Source organism: Homo sapiens, chromosome 16 (genome assembly GCF_000001405.40).
Source record: "Homo sapiens chromosome 16, GRCh38.p14 Primary Assembly".
Taxonomy (NCBI): Eukaryota; Metazoa; Chordata; class Mammalia; order Primates; family Hominidae; genus Homo; species Homo sapiens.
This window is the reverse complement of record NC_000016.10, coordinates 53192833-53214246: the sequence shown is the minus strand read 5'-3', so window position 1 is coordinate 53214246 and position 21414 is coordinate 53192833. Positions and strand designations below refer to the sequence as shown.

General features: G+C 36.1%; 1 protein-coding gene across 42 annotated transcripts in view, besides 2 other annotated features; it reads right to left on the bottom strand.

Moving 5' to 3' along the window:
* CHD9 (chromodomain helicase DNA binding protein 9) overlaps positions 1 to 21414 on the bottom strand; it is a 272507-nt gene that overhangs the window by 113251 nt on the left and 137842 nt on the right. For 24 of the 42 annotated variants that reach the window (XR_007064921.1, XM_047434693.1, XM_047434692.1 and 21 more), the window contains one exon: positions 4434 to 4765. Coding sequence is in view for 41 of the 42 variants with exons in the window: in XM_047434693.1 (XP_047290649.1) it covers positions 4434 to 4765 (332 nt within the window). In the remaining variant the exon portion in view is untranslated. Of the gene's footprint in view, positions 1 to 4433; positions 4766 to 5537; positions 5797 to 5899; positions 6283 to 21414 lie in introns of those variants that run through there. The other 18 variants (XM_047434707.1, XM_047434703.1, XM_047434699.1 and 15 more) reach the window with 3 other exon arrangements.
* Positions 5235 to 5822: an enhancer, noted in NCBI's record as "NANOG-H3K27ac hESC enhancer chr16:53242337-53242924 (GRCh37/hg19 assembly coordinates)". NCBI's record gives its function as "activates a minimal SCP1, AML or CMV promoter by ChIP-STARR-seq in primed H9 embryonic stem cells {active_cell/tissue: H9 hESC(primed)}" and the evidence as "EXISTENCE:reporter gene assay evidence [ECO:0000049][PMID:30033119]".
* Positions 5823 to 6412: an enhancer, noted in NCBI's record as "NANOG-H3K27ac hESC enhancer chr16:53241747-53242336 (GRCh37/hg19 assembly coordinates)". NCBI's record gives its function as "activates a minimal SCP1, AML or CMV promoter by ChIP-STARR-seq in primed H9 embryonic stem cells {active_cell/tissue: H9 hESC(primed)}" and the evidence as "EXISTENCE:reporter gene assay evidence [ECO:0000049][PMID:30033119]".

Sequence of the window (21414 nt, the reverse complement as noted above, 5' to 3'; positions counted from 1 at the left end):
TTTATAGATAAGAATGTCTCTCTAAAGACATACATGTGGACATAGATGCTAGTTTTGTTAAAAATACACACCTATGCATGTATGTACATATATATGATAGCACGTAATTAACAAATGTTATTTTCCTCCTTTCTTCTTGGAGGCAAATACAGACACAATATCATTTTGAGATCTAAATTAATGTTTTATTGTTTTTCTTCATAACATGACTTATACTTAATTCCTACTAGAGTTTGATAAATATCTCCAAATTTAGACATGTTCTGTTTTAACTAGAAGTTATTTGTAGTACCTGATAACTACTATTCCTGTAACACATACAAAGGATAATTATGGTTAATACAAAAAGGAAGAGTTTAATCATAAAGGACAATAATTGATTAAATTTACAGGGCTATGAAAACATTTTTAAGTAACCAAAAGCATTCTACTTATGTCAGCCAGAAAATCTATAACAGAAGTAAATTCCAACTGACAACATGGAAACATAATTTAAATGTCAAAGTAATAAATCATAGGTTTAAAAATACTTCTATCGAATCATGTGAAATCCCATTCGATAATCTAAAACCAAACAGGGCCATAAGAAAATTCTACTGGAAGTCCTAGATTCTAAAATAAATCAGTAAAATTCATCCTAACTCTCTAATATTACTAAACTATTAGTTATATCCCTGTGGTTTTATGAATGGATTAGCCTCCATTTCTGTTTTCAATTTAACAGATCAAGTTCAACCCTTTGGTATCATTTAATATTTAACCTTCTTTCCATCCATCCATCCATCCCATAAAATTCATCCCATTCCATTCATGGAGCATCTATTATGTACCTACTATTACTGAAGGAATACTCACTATTTTGTATGAAAGGCAGCTTTTAGAACCTGACTGCCAAGATCATAAAAAACACCAAAGCAGATAAAAGTTTTCCAGGCCTACCTCACCCTTCATTTTGCACCTGCCATTTCCATTTCAACTCACACCCTTCCACATAGCCACAAGCAACTCCTTCAAACTCCAGACACATTTCAAACTGTATCTATCCTAAATGCTACTTTAGCTAACCTGATCAACAGAGGCATGGTCATGTCAAAATAGCCATTAATAAGTTAATCTATTATTCCCCTTAACAAGTAGCAACTGTGTTTTCCTGCTTAATTTTTAAGCTGATCTTATTTAGGAACAGAGCCTTAATGGAAAGAGAACTGAGGTAGCTGAATGAGTGTGGGCTTGAAGGAAGGGGTGTGGCTCCTGGCCTTGGCTTTTTCCTTAAATAGCTATGCTATTTATGTTGTCAGAAAACAATAATGACTAACATTTACTGAACACTAAGCATATTCCAGATACTATTTTGTATATTAATTGATTTAGTCTTCAAAATAACACTATGAGGCAAGTACTATCCTATCCCCATTTTACAGAGGAGGAACCTAAAGCATGAGGATGTTAGCTTTTTGTACAGGATTACACTGCTTGTAAGTGATGAAACTGGAATCTGAACAAATGCAACTGGCTCCAGAGGCAAAGAATTTAACCCCATTATCACACTGTATGCCCACTCTAACTCACAGAATTGTAAAAATGAAATGAGACTCTAAGAAAGTGCTCCGAAAAGGACATTCTATTCTTTGCATTGGAAAAAAAGTTAATCTGTAAAAGTGACAACGAAAAGGTTTCAAGCACATTAGCAAGCAGGGGCAGTATTGCTTTTCTTCAGATTAGTCTTCCTAGATTACATCAAATCACATATATGGGTTAAATAAACACCAACCCTGATGACATCAACCATAAATTATTGTTTACAAATTTAGTTACTTTAAAAAAAATTTTTTTTTTTTTTTTGAGATGGAATCTCGCTCTGTCAGCCAGGCTGGAGTGCAGTGGTGCAATCTCGGCTCACTGCAACCTCTGCCTCCCAGGTTCACGCCATTCTCCTGCCTCAGCCTCCCGAGTAGCTGGCACTACAGGTGCCCACCACCACGCCTGGCTAATTTTGTTTTTGTATTTTTAGTAGAGATGGGGTTTCACGGTGTTAGCTAGGATGGTCTCAATCTCCTGACCTCGTGATCCGCCCGCCTCGGCCTCCCAAAGTGCTGGGATTACAGGCATGAGCCACCGCGCCCAGCCATTAATTTTAAAATTTATATTTTACACTGCTGTTGATTAAGTTGCACTGCTTTCCAAATTAACTAATATCAATAATTTGGTATTAGGAACAGCCCAATTGTCCTAAAATTAATAGAAAAATAAAAAATTTTAAATGAGATGTTTAATTATAAAATGGTGCTAGTTGAAATGATGCAACTGAACTTTACTTAAATGATTCTTCACTCAAAAATTTAAAACTCACCAAATTCAAAATTACAAAGTATAGTGGCTTATTGGAAAGCACAGTAATGAAATATTTCATTGGCTAATACTGGAATTCTGGATTGTATATGAATTTCATTTATTCCAACTATGCCTTTTCCTCCAACATGACAATAATTTTTGTCTTTGACTGATATAAATGATTGACACTGTTTTACTCTAACAGCTTAGTAATACATATGCAAACTTCAATACTACTTATCTGCCTGCGACTTATAAATTCTTCTATCAATTCACTTATCTGCCTGCGACTTATAAATTCTTCTATCAAAAAGGCCTATATTTTCAACAATTTTTCTTTTCTAGCAACTACTCAATATTTTACCATGTATTTAGCCAAAACAAAAAAAAATTTCTAGTACAATTCTTATCGATTTTGTTTTCTAGAATTTGCTACCTCTAGAAAAATTGGTCAATGTTGTGCAATATTAAAATAATTTACTATGAATAATTTACCTACTCCTAACAAAAACACAGATATCACAAAACTAGTCAGTACTCCGCTTCAGTGTTACTACTCCCCTTACTATATTAATTCACTTTTCTAAAAATCTGTGTTTCTAATTTAATTATTTCTAGTTATCTCTTATGTACAATGTTTTTTCTTAAACTAGATTTACTTCTGGTATCTTTTGCCTTTAGCTGTTCCTTCCCAAGTTTGAGGCAAGTAACGGTTAGTGTAACTTTTAAAAGTTTATCAACCAATTTCCTCATTTTATGCATTGTTTTTCAAAACGTTACTCTTCCAAATAGTATTCTACTCTGTCTAGATCTCTGAACAAGTTAAAACTGGAAACCCTTAATTATATTAAATTTTGGTTCAGCAAAAGACTAAATATGGGATTTCCTGAATTAAAACTGGGCAGAGCTTTGGAAAAATAAGTTACTTTCATACCTAAAACCTCTAAAAAAACAATAAAAGAAGTAGAAATCTTTCAAATTTCATTTTAGCTGTCTGCAAGTAAAATGCAAAATCAATATGATTATTAATCTATTATAACAAGAGAGCCCATATTATTTAATCGTTTGGACCTGAATGACATAAGGACCAAACTAAATAATTTGGCGGTTACATTTAAAATGCTAAGAATTCATTTGATTTATAAAATTGCATTAGTTCTAAATATCTATATAATATATCAACAATTTCTGAGCAAATGAAGATTTTCACAATAAAGACATTCTTTATTGCGGACTTTTTGTGAAAAAGAGAAAAGTTAGATTGACCCCTTTATGTCAAATTTCCACATGAAGTCCTCAAAAATAACCAGTCCTGAAAAAACAATTCTAAACTATGTTGGCTTAGTTATGCTTACCCTTGCATGCTAAGCAAATACACCTATAAAGCAAATTATAACATTTACTGTATTTTATTTTTTGAAAATATTTTGGATAAGCAGTAAAATACATAGGATTAATATATCCTCCTAGAGCAATTCTTTGTCCTTATAATTCTCTTGGAGCATTAATCCTCACCTGGCCTCTTTATTACGTAAAGTAAATCAGACTATATGGAAGTAAATCAGTAAGAACTGGCAACCACTTATTGTTGATTTATATGGTATTAGTGTTTTTTTTTTTTTTTTGCCATTTCATTCAGTCCAAAGTTGTGGTTTTATTAAGAAAATATTACATTTCATGTTTCCAAACTATGAGTGCTCAGTGAGGCACAAGTACAACCAAGAGAAAAAGAATCTTATAAAGAATTTCAATGCATGCTCTGTAAAGAAAGTGAATATGAAACTGGCACAGCAATATGGATTTCATTTTGTTTGTTTTTATCCTTTTCCTGATTCGTATACTGAAATATTTTACTACTTTAAATCCCTTTTAATAATATTAACATACAAAAAGCTACATTCTACATTCATAGAACCATAAAATTTGGGAGATCCTGGAATATTATCTAATTCATTCGGCAATGAAATAAAGCACACATAGTAGCCAACAATTTAAAACTCAAATATGGGAGTAAATATACTCAAATCAAAAGTAGATGGTTGGACAGTTTGAACTTTAACAGAACATTGAAAGGAATTAAATTTAATTCTTAACCAACTTACCCAATTTTTGTCTTCTCTTTTAACTTAGAACATGTTTTTGTTTTTTTGCTGTCTTTGTCCTTTGGCTTGGATTTCATCCTTCTACCTTTCTTTTCCTCTTTTCCTTCAACTGAAGCAGTAGGAAAGTTTTCAGGGCTCATTACTCGTGGAATATTGCGTTCCCCACGCTCCTTTGCTTTTGCTATGGCCTCTGATATTATACGATTAGCCTTTTCTTGCTTGCTTTCTGATTCCACCTTTTTTCTCTGCTTCTTCTCAGACATGACCCTCACCTGGGTATTCTGCAACTTAGTATATGTCCCAGAACCATCGCTCTTCTTGGAAGATGGAGGCTACAGAAACAAAAATATTTTTTATAGAATATACCAAAGTACATCTAAAACAATTGTCACAAATATCTGAAAATCTTAAATTATGTTTAGAGAGGTAAAATTACATTAGCAAATATGTGAGTGCTACAAACAAATTTAAAACATTTTGCTTATCAAGAAATTAGTACAGATATAAACAGCTCAATTGCTACTTTTAAAAATGAAGGTTAAAGAAGAATAATATAGATTCATTGATATTTTCATAGCATTCTTGGTTAGTTGATTCAAGTTTTGTCCTGTAAAGATAGTTGATTCAAATTTTATCCCATAAATATTCTGTGCATTTGGAATAAAAGTCTTTTCTTTCCTCTTCCCTCCAAAATTCTGAACATTAATAAATTTTTAAATAATTTTAATTTAGAATTACTCCATACAGTTTATTATGGCTTTTAGAAAAATAAAACCTCTGCTTTACGACTACAACCTGAAATCATTTAATATTTAAGTGCAGCAACATAGCTAGTTAGTAAACAGACATTCTCATACTTAAAATTAGAGAAAGTTTTAGTTTTCCCATGAAAGAGTTAAATGTGAAAATTTTTTTTCTTTTTCTATATCATAATTATTTTGCTCAAGCAATTTGGGAAATAAACAAGTTTTACAGTTTTACATTAAAATTATTAATATTTAGCAATATCACAGGAAGCAGATCAAGAGCATTTTAAAAAGAATTTCCTCTTCAAACACGCATTCATCCACATATACTTAGATCACAGTTTTGTTATGTTCTTACCCGTAAACATGCCTCTGACTATACCAAAGGAAAAAACCATCAGGAATTTCCAAACACATTTTCATGCTGATTCCAGTGTGCTTCACTGGATATTTTTTCTATACCTGCCTCATCAAAGGTTTCATAGCAGCACTGCAGCACTGGGAAAGGAAGGAGGGTTTAGAATTGCTCACTAAAATGCCACCTTAAGGCCTACAGGCTATAACAAATAACCAAGACTCGAGGAAACAGCAACAAGCTCAAGATGGCGATGCAGTACGACTCCCGTAGCAGCAGCCAGTAATAAGGAAGGTTATTCAATCCCATTAGCCTTTTAGCCCAAAGAACCCCTCCTCCTCCCACTCATTCAGGCTTTCACTTACCCTTCCTCTTGGCCTCTTCACTGAAGACATTTTTGGCGTCAGACAAAGGCTTGCCCTCTGCTTTTTCACCACCCCAGGCAGTGCTCAAGAAAAAAGCATTGAAAGAAGATTCCTAAATGGCCTATTTAGCAAGCTGCAACCAAGAGATGCACAACCCTCCACAAATACACATTTTGATTTATCAACACATTTCTGCCTTGGCAAGTTTATATCTACTGTTCATCCTATTTAGGTATGAAAAAGGCTGTAAACACTCCTAAAAAGCTGAGTTTCCTCAATAGCTGTAAGCAGATAGCCAGATTCCAACAAAGCACAGAAAGAAATGAATGCACAAAGCATCAAAATGCATCAGCATGAATATTAGAGATGTCGTTAAAAATACTGACTCCTTCTGCGGAAGTAGGCCAGCAGATGGTGCTACCAGTTATTATTCCATTAGACTCTGCAATTTAACCCCCAATGGACTGTTCTTCCCTCCATGTAACACATTAACTCTCACTCTGCCATTTCCTGCAGTAAAGTTTTAAAAAATATACATAAAAATCTGATTAAAAAAAAAAATCACCTGAGAACTAAACTGTGGTAAAATGGCATTATGTGGCTATCAATATTTTAAAAAAACAAAATCTAAAGCAATTTTTATTGGAAAAAAATACTTTTCTCCAAGATACTCTAAAATATTTAAAATATGAAATAGCTGAAGATTAGCAAAGGGTTAAAGAGGTCATGCAAATGAACCCAAAATAAGTTTAAGAAGTTAGATAAGGTTTCTTATAATTTTTCTAACAAAAAGCTAACAGTGTTATTTTGAAAATACAGAAATGAAGCTATTTTCATTTGAATTATAAAAAGAAGCTTAAAATTTTGAAATGAACAAATGAGAACTGTTTATAAAGATTACTAACAATGTTAAAATTGTTTCATCGTCTTAACATGGATGAATACATTTTTTTCGTAACATAAAAAACCTTTCTGACCTTTCCTCCTAACCTTCTATTTTAACTGCACTGATGAGTTTTTCAGGTAAAACTGTAGGTTTAGTTCCATAGCAAGTCAACTTGAATTTGAACATCAGTACAACTTTTCTTTCTATAAAAATTGATTCTATTTTAGTAAGCAATGCCCTTAAATCACTAAAACAAAATTTCACTGCTTTAAAATTCAAGTTTACCTCTTTCATCAATGCCATTTTTTCAGTTGGTCCTGGTTAGTCATCTGATATCACTATAAAACAACATTGGGTTCTCCCCTCTGCCCCTTTTAGGTACCAAAGGCCTCAAAACAGAAACAACACTATCTAAACAGGGCTCTAGAAAGACCCATCTGGATGGCATGAGAGATTAAAGGCAGAGGACAAGTAAGGACGAGGAAAGGATCTGACTTGAGATGTCATCAATGTGAAAATAATAACAATAATGAGATAACACTTACAGACTACTTACTAAGTGCCAGGGATTATTCTATTTTACATTTAATAACTAATGTAATCCTGATTAATAATAGGGTAATAACAGTGATAATGGAGACAAGGGGCTGGCTAATGAGAGAAATACTCTGATAGTAGCATTACAAAGAGACAGAATGGAACTGAGAGAGCAAACAATTACAAAAATCATTATGACAATAAGAGCTAAAATGTAGTGCTTACTATGTACCAGGCACTATTCCTAATATTTCCTATATATTGACTCAATCTTCAGAACAACCCTGTAAGATAGGTACTACTGTTATTCCCATTTTATATGAGGATACTGGGGGATAGAGAAATGACTTGCCCAAGATCACACAGCTACTGAATAGTGGAGCAGGGATTAAAAGACAAGGGGGTCTTGTTAGGGAGACCACACTCTTAACCATTATATTTTAATCATGTTTGGTTCAACTATCATAATTTACAGAGTTTAATTTGAGGACAAAGGAAAGTAGTAACATTCTCAAAATTGCAGAGATACCAAATAATAAGGCTAGGATGGTTTTTTTTTTTTTTTCCCGGTGCCCTTTCAAAAGTGTAGAAATCAACTAGACAGAGGTGAGGCATGGCTGAGGAGCAGGAAGAGCCAGCACTTGGTTTCTCGACCAAGAAAAGGTAAAAGAAGGCCAGGTGTGGTGGCTCATGCCTATAATCCCAGCACTTTGGGAGGCCGAGGTGGGCGGATCACCTGAGGTCGGGAGTTCGAGACCAGCCTGACCAACATGGAGGAAAAATCGCCTCTACTAAAAATACAAAATTAACTGGGCCTGGTGGTGCATGCCTGTAATCCCAGCTACTTAGGAGGCTGAGGCAGGAGAACTGCTTGAACCTGGGAGGCGGAGGTTGTGGTGAGCAGAGATAATGCCATTGCACTCCAGCCTGGGCAACAAGAGTGAAACTCTGTCTTAATTTAAAAAAAAAAGTAAAAGAAATAGGAAACCTAGTTGAGAAAGAATGTGTATGTGTGTATAACAAGTTTAATTCTTTTCATACTGAGTTTGAAATGGAGATCTCTAGCAATTTGAAATTTGGGACTGGATCATCAGAGAGAGAAGTCAGGGCTGGAATGTAAGATGCAGATCCTCCTGCTGTTTTCTTCCATTACCCTTATAATTCACTGACACTATTCAAAGAACCTAAGAGGATTTCCAAAACAACTCACTTCTCTTATAAAGTTTTTCAATAGATTCTACTACCTGACTCAGAATCCCAACTGTTTAATAAACCTTAATAAATCTATGATGAAATATTTCCTCTGCTACTAGAATACAGCATTTTAAAACCATATTCCCACAGAATATCAACAGAGGTGTTAAGTAACTGAACATTTTTAATGTTGGTCATTTCCCAATTCACACACACAAACATACAATGTTATGGTTTTTCTGCCCTTCCCCCCACCATCTAAGCAGTCATCAAATTCTGCCAAATCTACTTAATTGTATTTTTGGTTTTTTTCCTCTTCTAAGTCCCCACAGCTCCTGCTTTATTAACTTTCTACTTGTTATACTGTGGTTATGTAGGAAATGTTCTGATCTGTAGAAAACATATACCAAAGTCTTTGGGGATGATGGATTACTAGGTCTGCACCCTATTCAAATGGAGTAAAATAATTTATTTGTACTATGCTTGCAATTTTTCTGTAAGTGTGATAAGTTTCAAAATACAAAGTATTTAAAAATTTAAAATAAAGTCACAGGCCTTGCTCCCCATGAGCTTGTATGATTAAAATAATAGGTCGGGCGCGGTGGCTCATGCCTGTAATCCCAGCCTTGGGGAGGCCAAGGTGGATGCATCACTTGAGGTCAGGAGTTCTAGATCAGCTTGGCCAACATGGTGAAACCCCATCTCTACTAAAAATACAAAAACTAGCTGGGCATGGTGGCGCACGTCTAATCCCAGTTACTCAGGGGGCTGAGGCAGGAGAATCGCTTGAACCCAGGAGGTGGAGGTTGCAGTCAGCTGAGATCATGCCACCGTACTCTAGCCTGGGCAACAGAGCGAAACTCTGTCTCAAAACAAATAAACAAACAAACATATAAACAAAAAAATACATAAAAGGCACATATATTAATATCATATCCAAATATTCATTAAAAAAGAAAACCTATAGTACAAGAGATGATATCATATGTGATATGTTATTTTGATAGCACCTGGAAGGAATATATGGAAGACTCTATATATCATATTTCAGTACTGGGGAAACTCAAAGATTTATAGTATAAGTGTTTGTCAAAGACAGGTCATGACCTAATAGCAAGTCATGATACACATTTAAAGGGTCCAGACAACTACTAAAAAAACAACAACAAAACAAAAACAAAAAAACAAATAGAGTAGAAGAGGATAGTGTCAGACCCTTATGCATGCACTTCATGCCTCTAATAAAATTATAATTTTTCACACTACCTGTTACTCGCCTTTTCCTTCATGAGGAAAAGAAGCGAAGAGATTTGGGCAAGAAATTAGAGGTTTTAAAATCTGAGTGGGGACTTAGGTCCTTTCTCCTCTGGTGAAATAATTTCACATGTAACCAACAGCCATATTGGGAAATTCCTCCATTTCCAATATTTCAGTTGTATTAATAAAATTACTGGATCACTAGTGTGTGGATATAAGTAGAAATTATAAATTTTCAAAAAGAGAAGGGAAAAATGATCACATGACCACTGTACACTCAGAGAACAGGTTCCTCTCCTGGCAGGCTGGGGTGGTGAAGGTTATACACACACACACACACACACACACACGTTATCTAGATAAAGAAACATTCTACTTGACATAAATGTGTGTGTGTGTGTGTGTGTGTGTGTGTATATATATATTTTTTTTTTTTTTTTTTTTTTTTTTGAGATGGAGTCTTGCTCTGTCGCCCAGGCTGGAGTGCAGTGGTGTGATCTCGGCTCACTGCAAGCTCCGCCTCCCAGGTTCACGCCATTCTCCTGCCTCAGGCTCACGAGTAGCTGGGACTACAGGCGCCCGCCACCACGCCCGGCTAATTTTTTTGTATTTTTAGTAGAGACGGGGTTTCACCATGTTAGCCAGGATGGTCTCGATCTCCTGACCTCGTGATCTGCCCATCTTGGCCTCCCATAGTGCTGGGATTACAAGCGTGAGCCACCACGCCTGGCTCTACTTGACATATTTTTAAAATATGAAGAAATGCAAGGTCCCAGATATAATTCCTTAGTAAAAATAAAACACAGAACAATAAATTTTCAACAACAGAGATATAACTGCATTGTAGCTAAAATTCTCCCAACCTTTCTCAAGAGAGAGGAAGACTCTTAGGCTTTAGGCTTGGAGGACTAGGTGGATAGAAGTTTCAATGGAAGAGGACATAAAACAGAAGATAGCAAGCCTTGAGCAAGAATGAGTTTATCTGCCTAGAGAGACAATGTAGAATAACAGAAGAGAACCAGTGGTGAAACCCAAAAACAACAAGTTCCAGGAGCTAGCAGATGAAGAGGAGCTATTGAAGGAAAACAACAAGAAAATGCAAGAATGGTAAGGTAAGTATCAGGAGACAGTGGTGCCATGGAAGCCAAGAAAGGAAAGAATTAAAACCTCTGCAGTCAAAAGGAAAGTATCTTAAAGTAATTTGGTATTATAAAGATAATTTAATAAGGCATTTTACTTCTCTTAAATTGTTTATTGTAAGCTGGTGTACTGGTTTTTAGTCTCCTTATTTTTAAAATAGAAGCATAATAATTATTTACTTAAATATTCATATTAAATCAACCTAAAAACAATAGATTTGTAGTTAATTTTAGTAATATGTGTCAAACATTAGTATGGTGGCTTCTTTTGATTTTTATTTAATGCATACAACATTTTTCTTCAAACTATCAATAAATACATGTTTAAAGAGAAAAGAGAAAAAAACTGATCCAAGAGCAAATTATAATGTCAAACTTTTCCTGAATTTTACCCTTAGATTTGTTTTCAGAGTTTTTCATGGAAGTGGAACAATTATTTCACTTCACTTTCTTCACATCTGTGAACTACCATGCTCACAAATTAAAAGGTTTATTTTCGTCTTGTGACTCGCAGTAGTACCCAGGTTTACAATTTTAGATAACCATGACATTCCTTTTTTTTTTAAGTGTCATAATCTTAATTTGCATTGATACAGTAATACTTTTTAAGGGTTGGCTTTATTTTAAGCATCCACATAAAAGTCCAGGCAAACAGTAGATGTTCATACAAGTTTTGTTTCTTTTTTAAATACAAATGTACATCTAGCTTACAGGAAGCACAGGGAAAAAAGGAACTTGTTAAATGCAATCAACAAAATCCAGATGTAATCAGCAAAATGGGGATGTAATCAGTAAAATCCAGAGTGTAGGAAACTCCATAGGACAAAGGACTCTATTTCTTCAACAAAGAAACTGTAAGAAACAAAACAGAAAAGGGCAACCACAGAGTAGATGAGACTTAAGACTAATTGGAATGACAAAACAGAAAAAAAAAAAAAGAGAGAGAGAGAAACTTAAAAGACCTCAACAAAATGCAACATGTGGAGCATTGCATTTGGTTTATATGTTTTCTAAGTTTAGATATTGGCCTGAACCAGCCAACTGTAAAAATAAATTTACTTAGCAACTGGAGAAATAGAAACCCTGACCAGATATTTGATTATATGAGAATTATGGTTATCTTTTTTAGGTGTGAAACTGGTTTTGTAGTTGTGTTTTAAAGACAAAAATCTAATGCAGGCATGGTGGCTCATGCCTGTAATCCCAGAACTTTGGGAGGCCAAGGCAGGAGGATTGCTTGAGGCCAGGAGTCCAAGGCCAGCCTGGGCAACATAGCAAGACACAATCTCTTAAAAAAAAAAATTTAAACTTAGCTAAGTGTGATGGTGCACATCTGTAGTCCGAGTTGCTTGGGAGGCTGAGGTGGGAGGATTACTTGAGCCCAGGAGCTTGAGGTTGCAGTGAGCTATGATTAGCCCCTGTACTCAAGTTGGGTTGGGTGACAGAGCAAAACCCTGTCTCAAAACAACAACAACAACAAAAAAAAAAACCTCAAACTGATCCCCCCAAATTTTTGCCTTTTAGATGTATAAATCAATGTATTTTTAGATGAATGATAAGACTAAGATGTACTTCAAAAATATCCATGGAGGGGGTGGCTATATTCATTAGATGGTAGTACAGATGCAACAGTGGCCATATAAATTGACAGCTGTTGGTGGCTGGGAGATGGATATTCTACTTCTGTGTCACTTGAAATGCTATATAATAAAGAAATTTAAAAATTTATATTCTGGAATAACAAGTAGTTTGGCATGACAAGCAAAGGAGATGCCTGTGGGAGAATGATAAGCAACAAGGACTAAAATATAACAGACTAGATTATCAACGGTGTTATAGGTTATGTTAAAATATCTAGACTTCATGCTGAAGGAATTAGGGAATTAATAAATGATTATATAGAGAGAACAGGATCACACTTTAAGACATAGGGGTACTAAGTGGTTTTGATAAAAATGCCAGAATAATTGATAAAATATTTTGGCTTAGAAAAAGGTCATACATGATCTAAAAACAAATAGTATTTAATCTATTTTACATTAGTATGCAGTACTTTTCCAAGCAAACTTGTTGCTTCCAAATAAGTCAAAAGTATATTTTTAAAACATCAAATCACAAACCTCACCAAGTTCACTACTTGCTGAAAACATTAAATATGCTGAATTTATCAGTCCATAAATTATCCCCAATACTTAAAGCTATTCTCAGCATAACATTGTGATTAAGGGCATGGGTTTTTGAGCCAGCCAGCCCTGGGTTCTGGTTCCAGTTCCATCATTTATCTGGGCCTCAGCTTCCTCAACTGTAAAAATGTAGATAATAACAGTATTCATCTAATAGGGCTCTTGTGAAACCTAATAGATAATGCTTGTAGAGTGCTTTAGCATGGTGTCAGGCATACAAATACTGAGAGATATTAGGTATGGTTATTGTTATTGCTGTGATGTGATACTGTGCTCTTCTCAGTACATCATATCAGAGAGTAGATGATGTCAGTGTCTTATTATTGGTGATGTTACCCTTGGTTACTTGGTTAAAGTAGTGTCTGCCAATTTATTCTCCATGTAAATGTCTTTTTTTATAATTAATACATATTTTATGGGAAGATATTTTGAGACTAGGCAAATATCCTGTTTCCCATATACATTTGCCCAATAATTCTAGCATTCATTGATTCTTGCCCATAACAATCATTACTGTGGTATTTGCCTAATGGAAAGTTTCTATTTCCATAATTCCTTCCACATTTTCAATTGGAATTCTACTCTAAACAAGAGCTGTCTCTTCTTCCTTTTAATTTATTCATTCATTTGTACCAATATAGACTCATAAATCTTGGCTCACTACAACCTCCACTCCCTGGGTTCAAGCAATTCTCATGCCTCAGCCTCCCAAGTAGCGGGGATTACAGGTATCCGCCACCATGCCTGGCTAATTTTTGTGGTTTTTTTTTTTTTTTTTTTTGAGACAGAGTATTGCTCTGTTGCCCAGAATGGAGTGCAGTGGTGTGATCTTGGCTCACTGCAACCCCTGCCTCCTGGGTTCAAGCAATTCTCCTGCCTCAGCCTCCCAAGTAGCTGGGACTATAGGTGCACACCACCACACCCAGCTAATTTTTGTATTTTTAGTAGAGATGGGGTTTCACCATGTTGGTCAGGCTGGTCTCGAACTCCTGACCTCATGATCAGCCACCTCAGCCTCCCAAAGTGCTGGGATTAAAGGTATGAGCCACCGTGCCCAGCCTCATGTTTTTGTATTTTTAGTAGAGACAGGGTTTTGCCATGTTGGCCAGGCTGGTCTCGAACTCCTGACCTCAGGTGACCCACCCGCCTCGGCCTCCCAAAGTGCTAGGATTACAGGCATGAGCCACCGTGCCAGCCGATATTACTTTCTTTCTATGGTTTATAATCTGACACTATGATTACTTACTTGTTCAAAATGTCCTAACTTTGGCCATTTACAGCTCCTTCAAGTTGGTTCCTGTGTTCATAACCCCACCGTATTTCAAGCACTTCCTTATTTTCTGGTACTGTAAGATATTCCAGTTTTATGGTAAGAATAGTTTAATGGTCAAGATGGAAGTAGCTGAGATGGAAGCCACACTACAGTAGGTTAAGAAGCAAATGGAAACTACATGTTCTCACTTACATGTAGGAGCCAAATAATGGGTATACATAGACATACAGGGTGAAAGAACAGACACTGGAGACTCTAAAAGGTGGAAGGGTGGCAGCAGAGTCAGGGATGAAATACTACCAGTTGGGTACAATGTATACTATATAGGTGATGAGTACACTAAATGCCCAAACTTCACCACTATTCAAATATCTATGTATCTAAATCTGTAAAAATAAAACTTTAAAAACCTAAAAATAATTTAAAACATGACTTTAAGTAAAACAAAAGGTGAAATTTTTATTTTCAAAATATATATACATGTTTGTCTATATGAATATATATTAATATATGCTAAATGAATCAGGGAATCAATAAATGACTATATACAGAGAAGCAACAGGATCAGATATTAAGATATAGAGTTGTTAAGTGGTTTCAATAAAAATCCATCTATGGGGCTAGGCACAGTAACTCTCATCTGTCCTATTTTGGAGATTCCTTGTAATAAAAGTGTAACTATGACTGTAACAGTTTTCAGTGGGTTTGGTTAGTCCTGCTGGCAAATTATTGAAACTGAGGGTACTTTTGGGAACCCCCAGAACTTGTAGCTGGTGTCAGAAGTGAGGACAGTCTTGGGACTGTGCTAACTTTGCAGTTTGGCTAACTCTGAGTAATGCTTCTCAATGAAAAAAAAAAAAAGTTTGGTGGCAAAATAAAGAGATCTTCATCTGCTATATTCAAATGCAAATTCCAATTAAAAAGATTTTTACATTTTTATAAGACTTATAAAATAATGAAAACTAGGATTGGCAATAATTCCATGCTATCAAAGACTTATCTATAGGAAATCTGAACTAAGAAAACTGCTTCCTTAAATATCCTAGGCGTTCCCATTCCATCTGTACAGAGGAACACATCTATGTGACAAGATTCAATATTCCTACATACATTTTTAACAATTGAGCATGTTTGACTTAAGAGAAAAAGGACACAAGAAGAGGAACTGCATGACAGTCCGTTTAAAATATCACATGGAATAGAAATTATTTTTTGAGGCTTGAAAGAAGTTCAATTCTTTAAACAAATATTGAGGCCGGGTGTGGTGGCTCACGCCTGTAATCCTAGCACTTTGGGAGGCCGAGGCAGGCGGATCACAAGGTCAGGAGATTGAGACCATCCTGGCTAATACAGTGAAACCCCATCTCTACTAAAAATACAAAAAATTAGCCGGGTGTGGTGGCAGGAGCCTGTAATCCCAGCTACTTGGGAGGCTGAGGCAGGGGAATCGCTTGAACCCGGGAGGCGGAGGTTGCAGTGAGCCAAGATCGCACCACTACGCCACTGTACTCTAGCCTGGCGATAGAGCGAGACTCTGTCTCAAAAAAAAAAAAAAAAAAAAAATTGAATGCTTATTATGAGTCAGGTGCTACTTGATGTTAGAACAATGGACGTGTAGTCTCTCAGAAAGAAATTTATAACTTGGTAGTGTGAAACTATCACCAATGAGTAAAATGCAGAGGGAATCATAGTTAATAATACTCTTCATCAGCATGTTCCCTCCCTTTAGAACCCCCTCCCAAACACTCTGTTCATATTGCTTTTGGAAGGCTCTAAAGATGGAAAAACAGGGTGGAGTACTATAGAAAAACCCATGGTTGGAGAGTCGATACGCTTGAGAAAATATAATTGGCTATGTAGGAAGGGAGAGGGTTTCCGTAATTCCAATCACAGAAAGAGTTCAAACCAAAAATGCTAGGGAGGCCGGGCATGGTGGCTCATGTCTGTAATCCCAGTACTTTGGGAGGCTGAGGTGGGCAGATCACCTGAGGTCAGTAGTTCGAGACCAGCCTGGCCAACATGGTGAAACCCCGTGTCTACTAAAAATATAAACATTAGCTGGGTGTGGTGGTGCACGCCTGTAGTCCTATCTACTCAGGATCTGAGGCAGGAGAATCCTAGCTACTCAGGAGGGTGACGGAGGTTGCGGCGCAGAGATCGCACCACTGCACTACAGTCTGGGTGATACAGCGAGACTCCATCTCAAAAAAAAAAAAAAGCTAGAATATTCACGTAGCAGAATGAGTTGAACTAGACAGGCTGCTTAGTCCCATTCAATTCTGGGATTTTAAGATACTACAAAAAAGTGTTAATATTTAAAATAATCAAGAACATGCAATAAGGTTATCTTATCTTCCATAACAGCATAATAGAGTCCTGATATAAAATACTTTCCTAGTTATATAAAGTACCCTGAGGTGCACTGGGAACCTGATTTTCTACTGCAACCTCACTGAATAAAGACCAGGTAGACTACACAAACATCAATTTGTTCGTGTATTGTTGAGTAAAAAATGTCACTCAAATCCTACTATAATTAAAAACAGGACACAGGATTAGATATGAAAATTAACATTTGTGCAATGTTTGATAGTTTACAGAGGACTTTAATCTGTTAAATGTTATCTCATTTAATTCTTCCAAACTCCTAGGAAATGGCTATAGTGGTGGTAGTGGTACTTGTTATTCCCATTTTAAAATGAAGGAGTCTTAGCCAAATTCCATAACCTTTCTACTAGTCTGCCAGTATATCTCAGCCTTTTCTCTCTTCTACTCCCTTATTTTTAACACAATTAACACATTCATCACAGTAATCCATCTCAACACTTAGTTGGGAGTGAAAGGAGTGGAATGGCATGGACTAGTAAATTCTCTCTGAAATTCTGGGAGGAGAGAAGCATCTTTCTTGCCTACCTACCTTTGACAATCACTATTCTATACTTTTCTTCTGAAGAAGTATGTTAATCATTAACTCATAAATCTTCAACTCAAGAAAACTGAAGGTACAAATATATGAGAAAAAACAAAACTTAGTTTCACTGGAGATGATTCACATAAAACTTTAGTTTGGCTTAGAAAGCTCTAAAATTGCCCTACAATTTACAGAAAAGTGCAATCCTAGATTGGATCTGATCATTGTCTTTAAAACTTAGAAGACTGATTGGTTCACTCATTTAATATTCATTTAACAAGTACTTGTTGAACTAAGTGTACTGTTCAACAAGCACTGTTCCCAAGCACTTCTCATTACTATGTCATCTACTTATATTAAGGAATCTTACGATTAAATCAAATATTCTGCTTTTAAAAATGAGGTGTTCTAGTATCTACCAAGGCTAATCATTTTATTGTGGCAGACAGAATTATAAGGTAAACCCTCAATGAACCATGCTCTTGTAAAACTCTTCCCCTTGATTGTGGGCTGAACCTGTAAAAATGTTGGAATACCACAGGCTATGTGGCAAAAGTGAAAGGATTTTACAAATATAATTAATGCCTATTTCAGTCTACTTAGTGGTTGCCAAAGGTTAGGGATGGGACATTAGGGTAGGAGAGAGGTAGGTTTGGTTACAAAAGAGCAACATCCTTGTCGTGATGGAACCAAACTGTATCTTGGCTTTGGTGGTGGTTTCATGAACCTATACATGTGATACAATTTCATGAAAATAAACACACAAACACATGCAGATGAGAGCATGGAAAACTGGGGAAATCTAAATAAAGATTGATGGATTGTATCAACTCAGTTTCTTGACTGTGATACTGTACTATAGTTTTGCAAGATTCTACCCTTGTGGGAAACTGAATTAAGGATATACGGAGGCTGGGCACAGTGGGTCATGCCTGTAATCTCAGCACTTTGGGAGGCTGAGGCAAGTGAATCATTTGAGGCCAAGCATTCAAGACCAGTCTGGCCAACATGGCAAAACCCCATCTCTACTAAAAATACAAAAATTAGCCAGGCATGGTGGCACACGCCTGTGATCCCAGCTACTTGGGAGATTCAGGTGTGAGAATTGCTTGAACTTGGGAGGTGGAGATTGCAGTGAGCTGAGGTCACTGTATTCCAGCCTAGATGACAGAGCGAGACCCTATCTCAAAAAAAAAAAAAAAAAGCATACATTGAATCTCTCTGTTTTATTTCTTACAACTGCATGCGAATCTGCAATTACCTCAAAATAAAACTTAAAAAAAAAAAGTAGTTACAAAAAAAGAGAGCGCTTAGGCCTTCTCTGAGCTCAGAGATACTCTCCTGCTGGCCTTGAAGAAACAAGCTGCTGGAGTTCTACAGTTGCAAGGAAATGTGTTTTGTCAACAATCTCATAAGCCTAGACCCTGAGCCTCAGATGAGATACTGCAGCCCAAGTTGACACCTTGGTTGCAGTTTTGTGAGAGCCTGAGAAAAGAACCCATCTAAGCTGTGCCCAGACACCTGACCCAAGGAAGCCATGAGATAATAAATGAGTGCCATTTTAAGCCAGACTAAATATGTGGTAATTTGTAACTAATAGAAAATATATTCGTATACCCAATGATTGAACAATTCCAATCTTGGGTATATGTCCAACATAATTAAAGTTCAATAACATGCAAAACTAACCTATGAGGTTATAAATCAGAATGGTGGTTGCCCTTGATGACCAAGCATAGTGACTAGTAGCAAGCTTTTAGGCCATAGCAGGCTTCTAGAATTGTGCTAATATCTTATTTCTTGGTCTGGATACTGGTTAAATGGATGATGTTTAATGTCTGAAAATTGATCAAATTGTTCACTTTTAATTTGTGTATTTTCTGTATGTACATTATACTTCAAGAAAATTTATATTAAAAGATTATAACTCAAACTGAAGAACATTTTGTAATCTTATCATTAATCTGAGTAAACAATCATTCTTACAGGTATTTAAGGAAAAGACCAACTGTTCTCTTAATGCAATAATGTCTTGACACTAAAAACAAATTATTTTCTTGATTTTATTACTGTGACATTCCAGATATATTTCATTAAGAAAACAGTAACAGAGAAATATACTATTGCCTATTTCCTCTAATACCAGGAGAAATCTATGAAATGCTGAAAGAGGCCTGAGAATTACCTTAATCAGTGTTATTGGTGATGGGAAAAGGCGGGATCAGGAAGAAAGACAATTTTTCAAAACCCACAATCAAAATGTGAAGAAGAGAAAACTGAAATACAATGTTTAAATCTATACTCACATTTCTGAATAACACCATCATCTCTCTCTCTAGTTACATTTTCAATTTTCAAATGCTTGTTTTACTTTATTTTTAAAATTTTATCTTTTGAGACAGGGTCTCACTCTGTCACCCAGGCTGGAGTGAAGTGGTACGATCTCCGCTCACTTCAGCCTCCACCTCCCAGCTCAAGTGATCCTCCTGTCTCAGCCTTCTGAGTAGCTGAGACTACAGGCCTGCGTCACTATGCCTGGATAATTTTTGTATTTTTATAGAGACAAGGTTTCACCATGTTGCCCAGGCTGGTCTCAAACTCCTGGGCTCAGTGATCCTCCTGTCTTGACCTCAAAGTACTAGGATTATAGGCATGAGCCACTGCACCCAGCCTCGGGGTTTACTTTATATTCTAGTGATGCTGAACTAAGTTCAGTTTTTTTAGACTTTTTTTTTTTTTTAAGAGGCAGGGTCTCGCTCTGTTGCCCAGGCTGAAGTGCAGTGGCATGATCACAGCTCATCTCACTGGAACCTTGAATTCTTGGGCTCAAGTGATCCTCTCACAGCACTGGGATTACGGCATAAGCCACTGTGTCCAGCCTTCTTAGACATATTTTACCTAAAACTTTGAATTTACTGATCTAGTTGTCAAGAGTGCCCTTTCTCCAAAAGGTAGCCTAGCAAATGTCCATTCAAAAATTCACTTTTAGATATCACTTTTACTCTACGTAATTTTACAACAGTAATATTTGTTTTATAACAGTAATATTACTATAGTATATTATAGTTATTTACAAGCCAAGGTCACATTCAATTTGTATCTCTAAAACCTAGCCGATGTTTAGCACAGTTTCAATATCTGTATAATGAGGATAATCATAGTATCTAATCTAACAGGGTTGCTGTGAATTTAAATGAGATCATTCAACTAAAGGATTTCAGAACAGTATCTGACATGCAGGCACTCGGTAAATGTTAGTGTTCATTATTGTGATTAAGATTAATGTTCCTTATACAACTAAGTCTCAAAACCCAATAAATATGAAAACAAAGACTCCAATTTTTAAAATGGGCCAACGATTTGAATGGACACTTTACCAAAGAAGATGAAAGGATTGCGAATAAACACTAGAAAAGATGCTCAGATTATTAGACATTAGGGAAATACAAATTCAAGCCACAATGAGATATCAATCTACATCTATTTGGATGGTTAAAAGATTTTTTTTTTTCTTATTTTGGGACAGAGTCTCACTCTGTCACCCACGCTGGAGTGCAGTGGCGTGATCTCGGCTCACTGCAAGCTCTGCCTCCCGGGTTCATGCCACTCTCCTGCCTCAGCCTCCAGAGTAGCTGGGACTACAGGGGCCCGCCACCACGCCCGGCTAATTTTTTTGTATTTTTAGTAGCGACAGGGTTTCACCGTGTCAGCCAGGATGGTCTCGATCTCCTGACCTCATGATCCACCTGCCTCGGCCTCCCAAAGTGTTGGATTACAGGTATGAGCCACCGTGCCCGGCCGGATGGTTAAAACATTTTAAAAATAAATATTTAGTGCTAGACAGGATATGGAGCAACAGGAACTCCTATATGCTGCTGGTGGGAATGCAAAATGGTACAACCACTTTGGACAACAGTTTAGTATTTTTTTATAAGTTCAACATACACTCAACATATGACCCTCAGCAATTTTACACTTATATATTTACCCGAGAGTGAAAACATATGGTTAACAAAAAAAAGCTGTATATACATGTTTATAGAGGCTTTATTCATAATTACAAAAACCTGAAAACAACCCAAATACCCTTTAACTTGTGAATACATAAACAATTTGTGGTGCATTTATATAATGG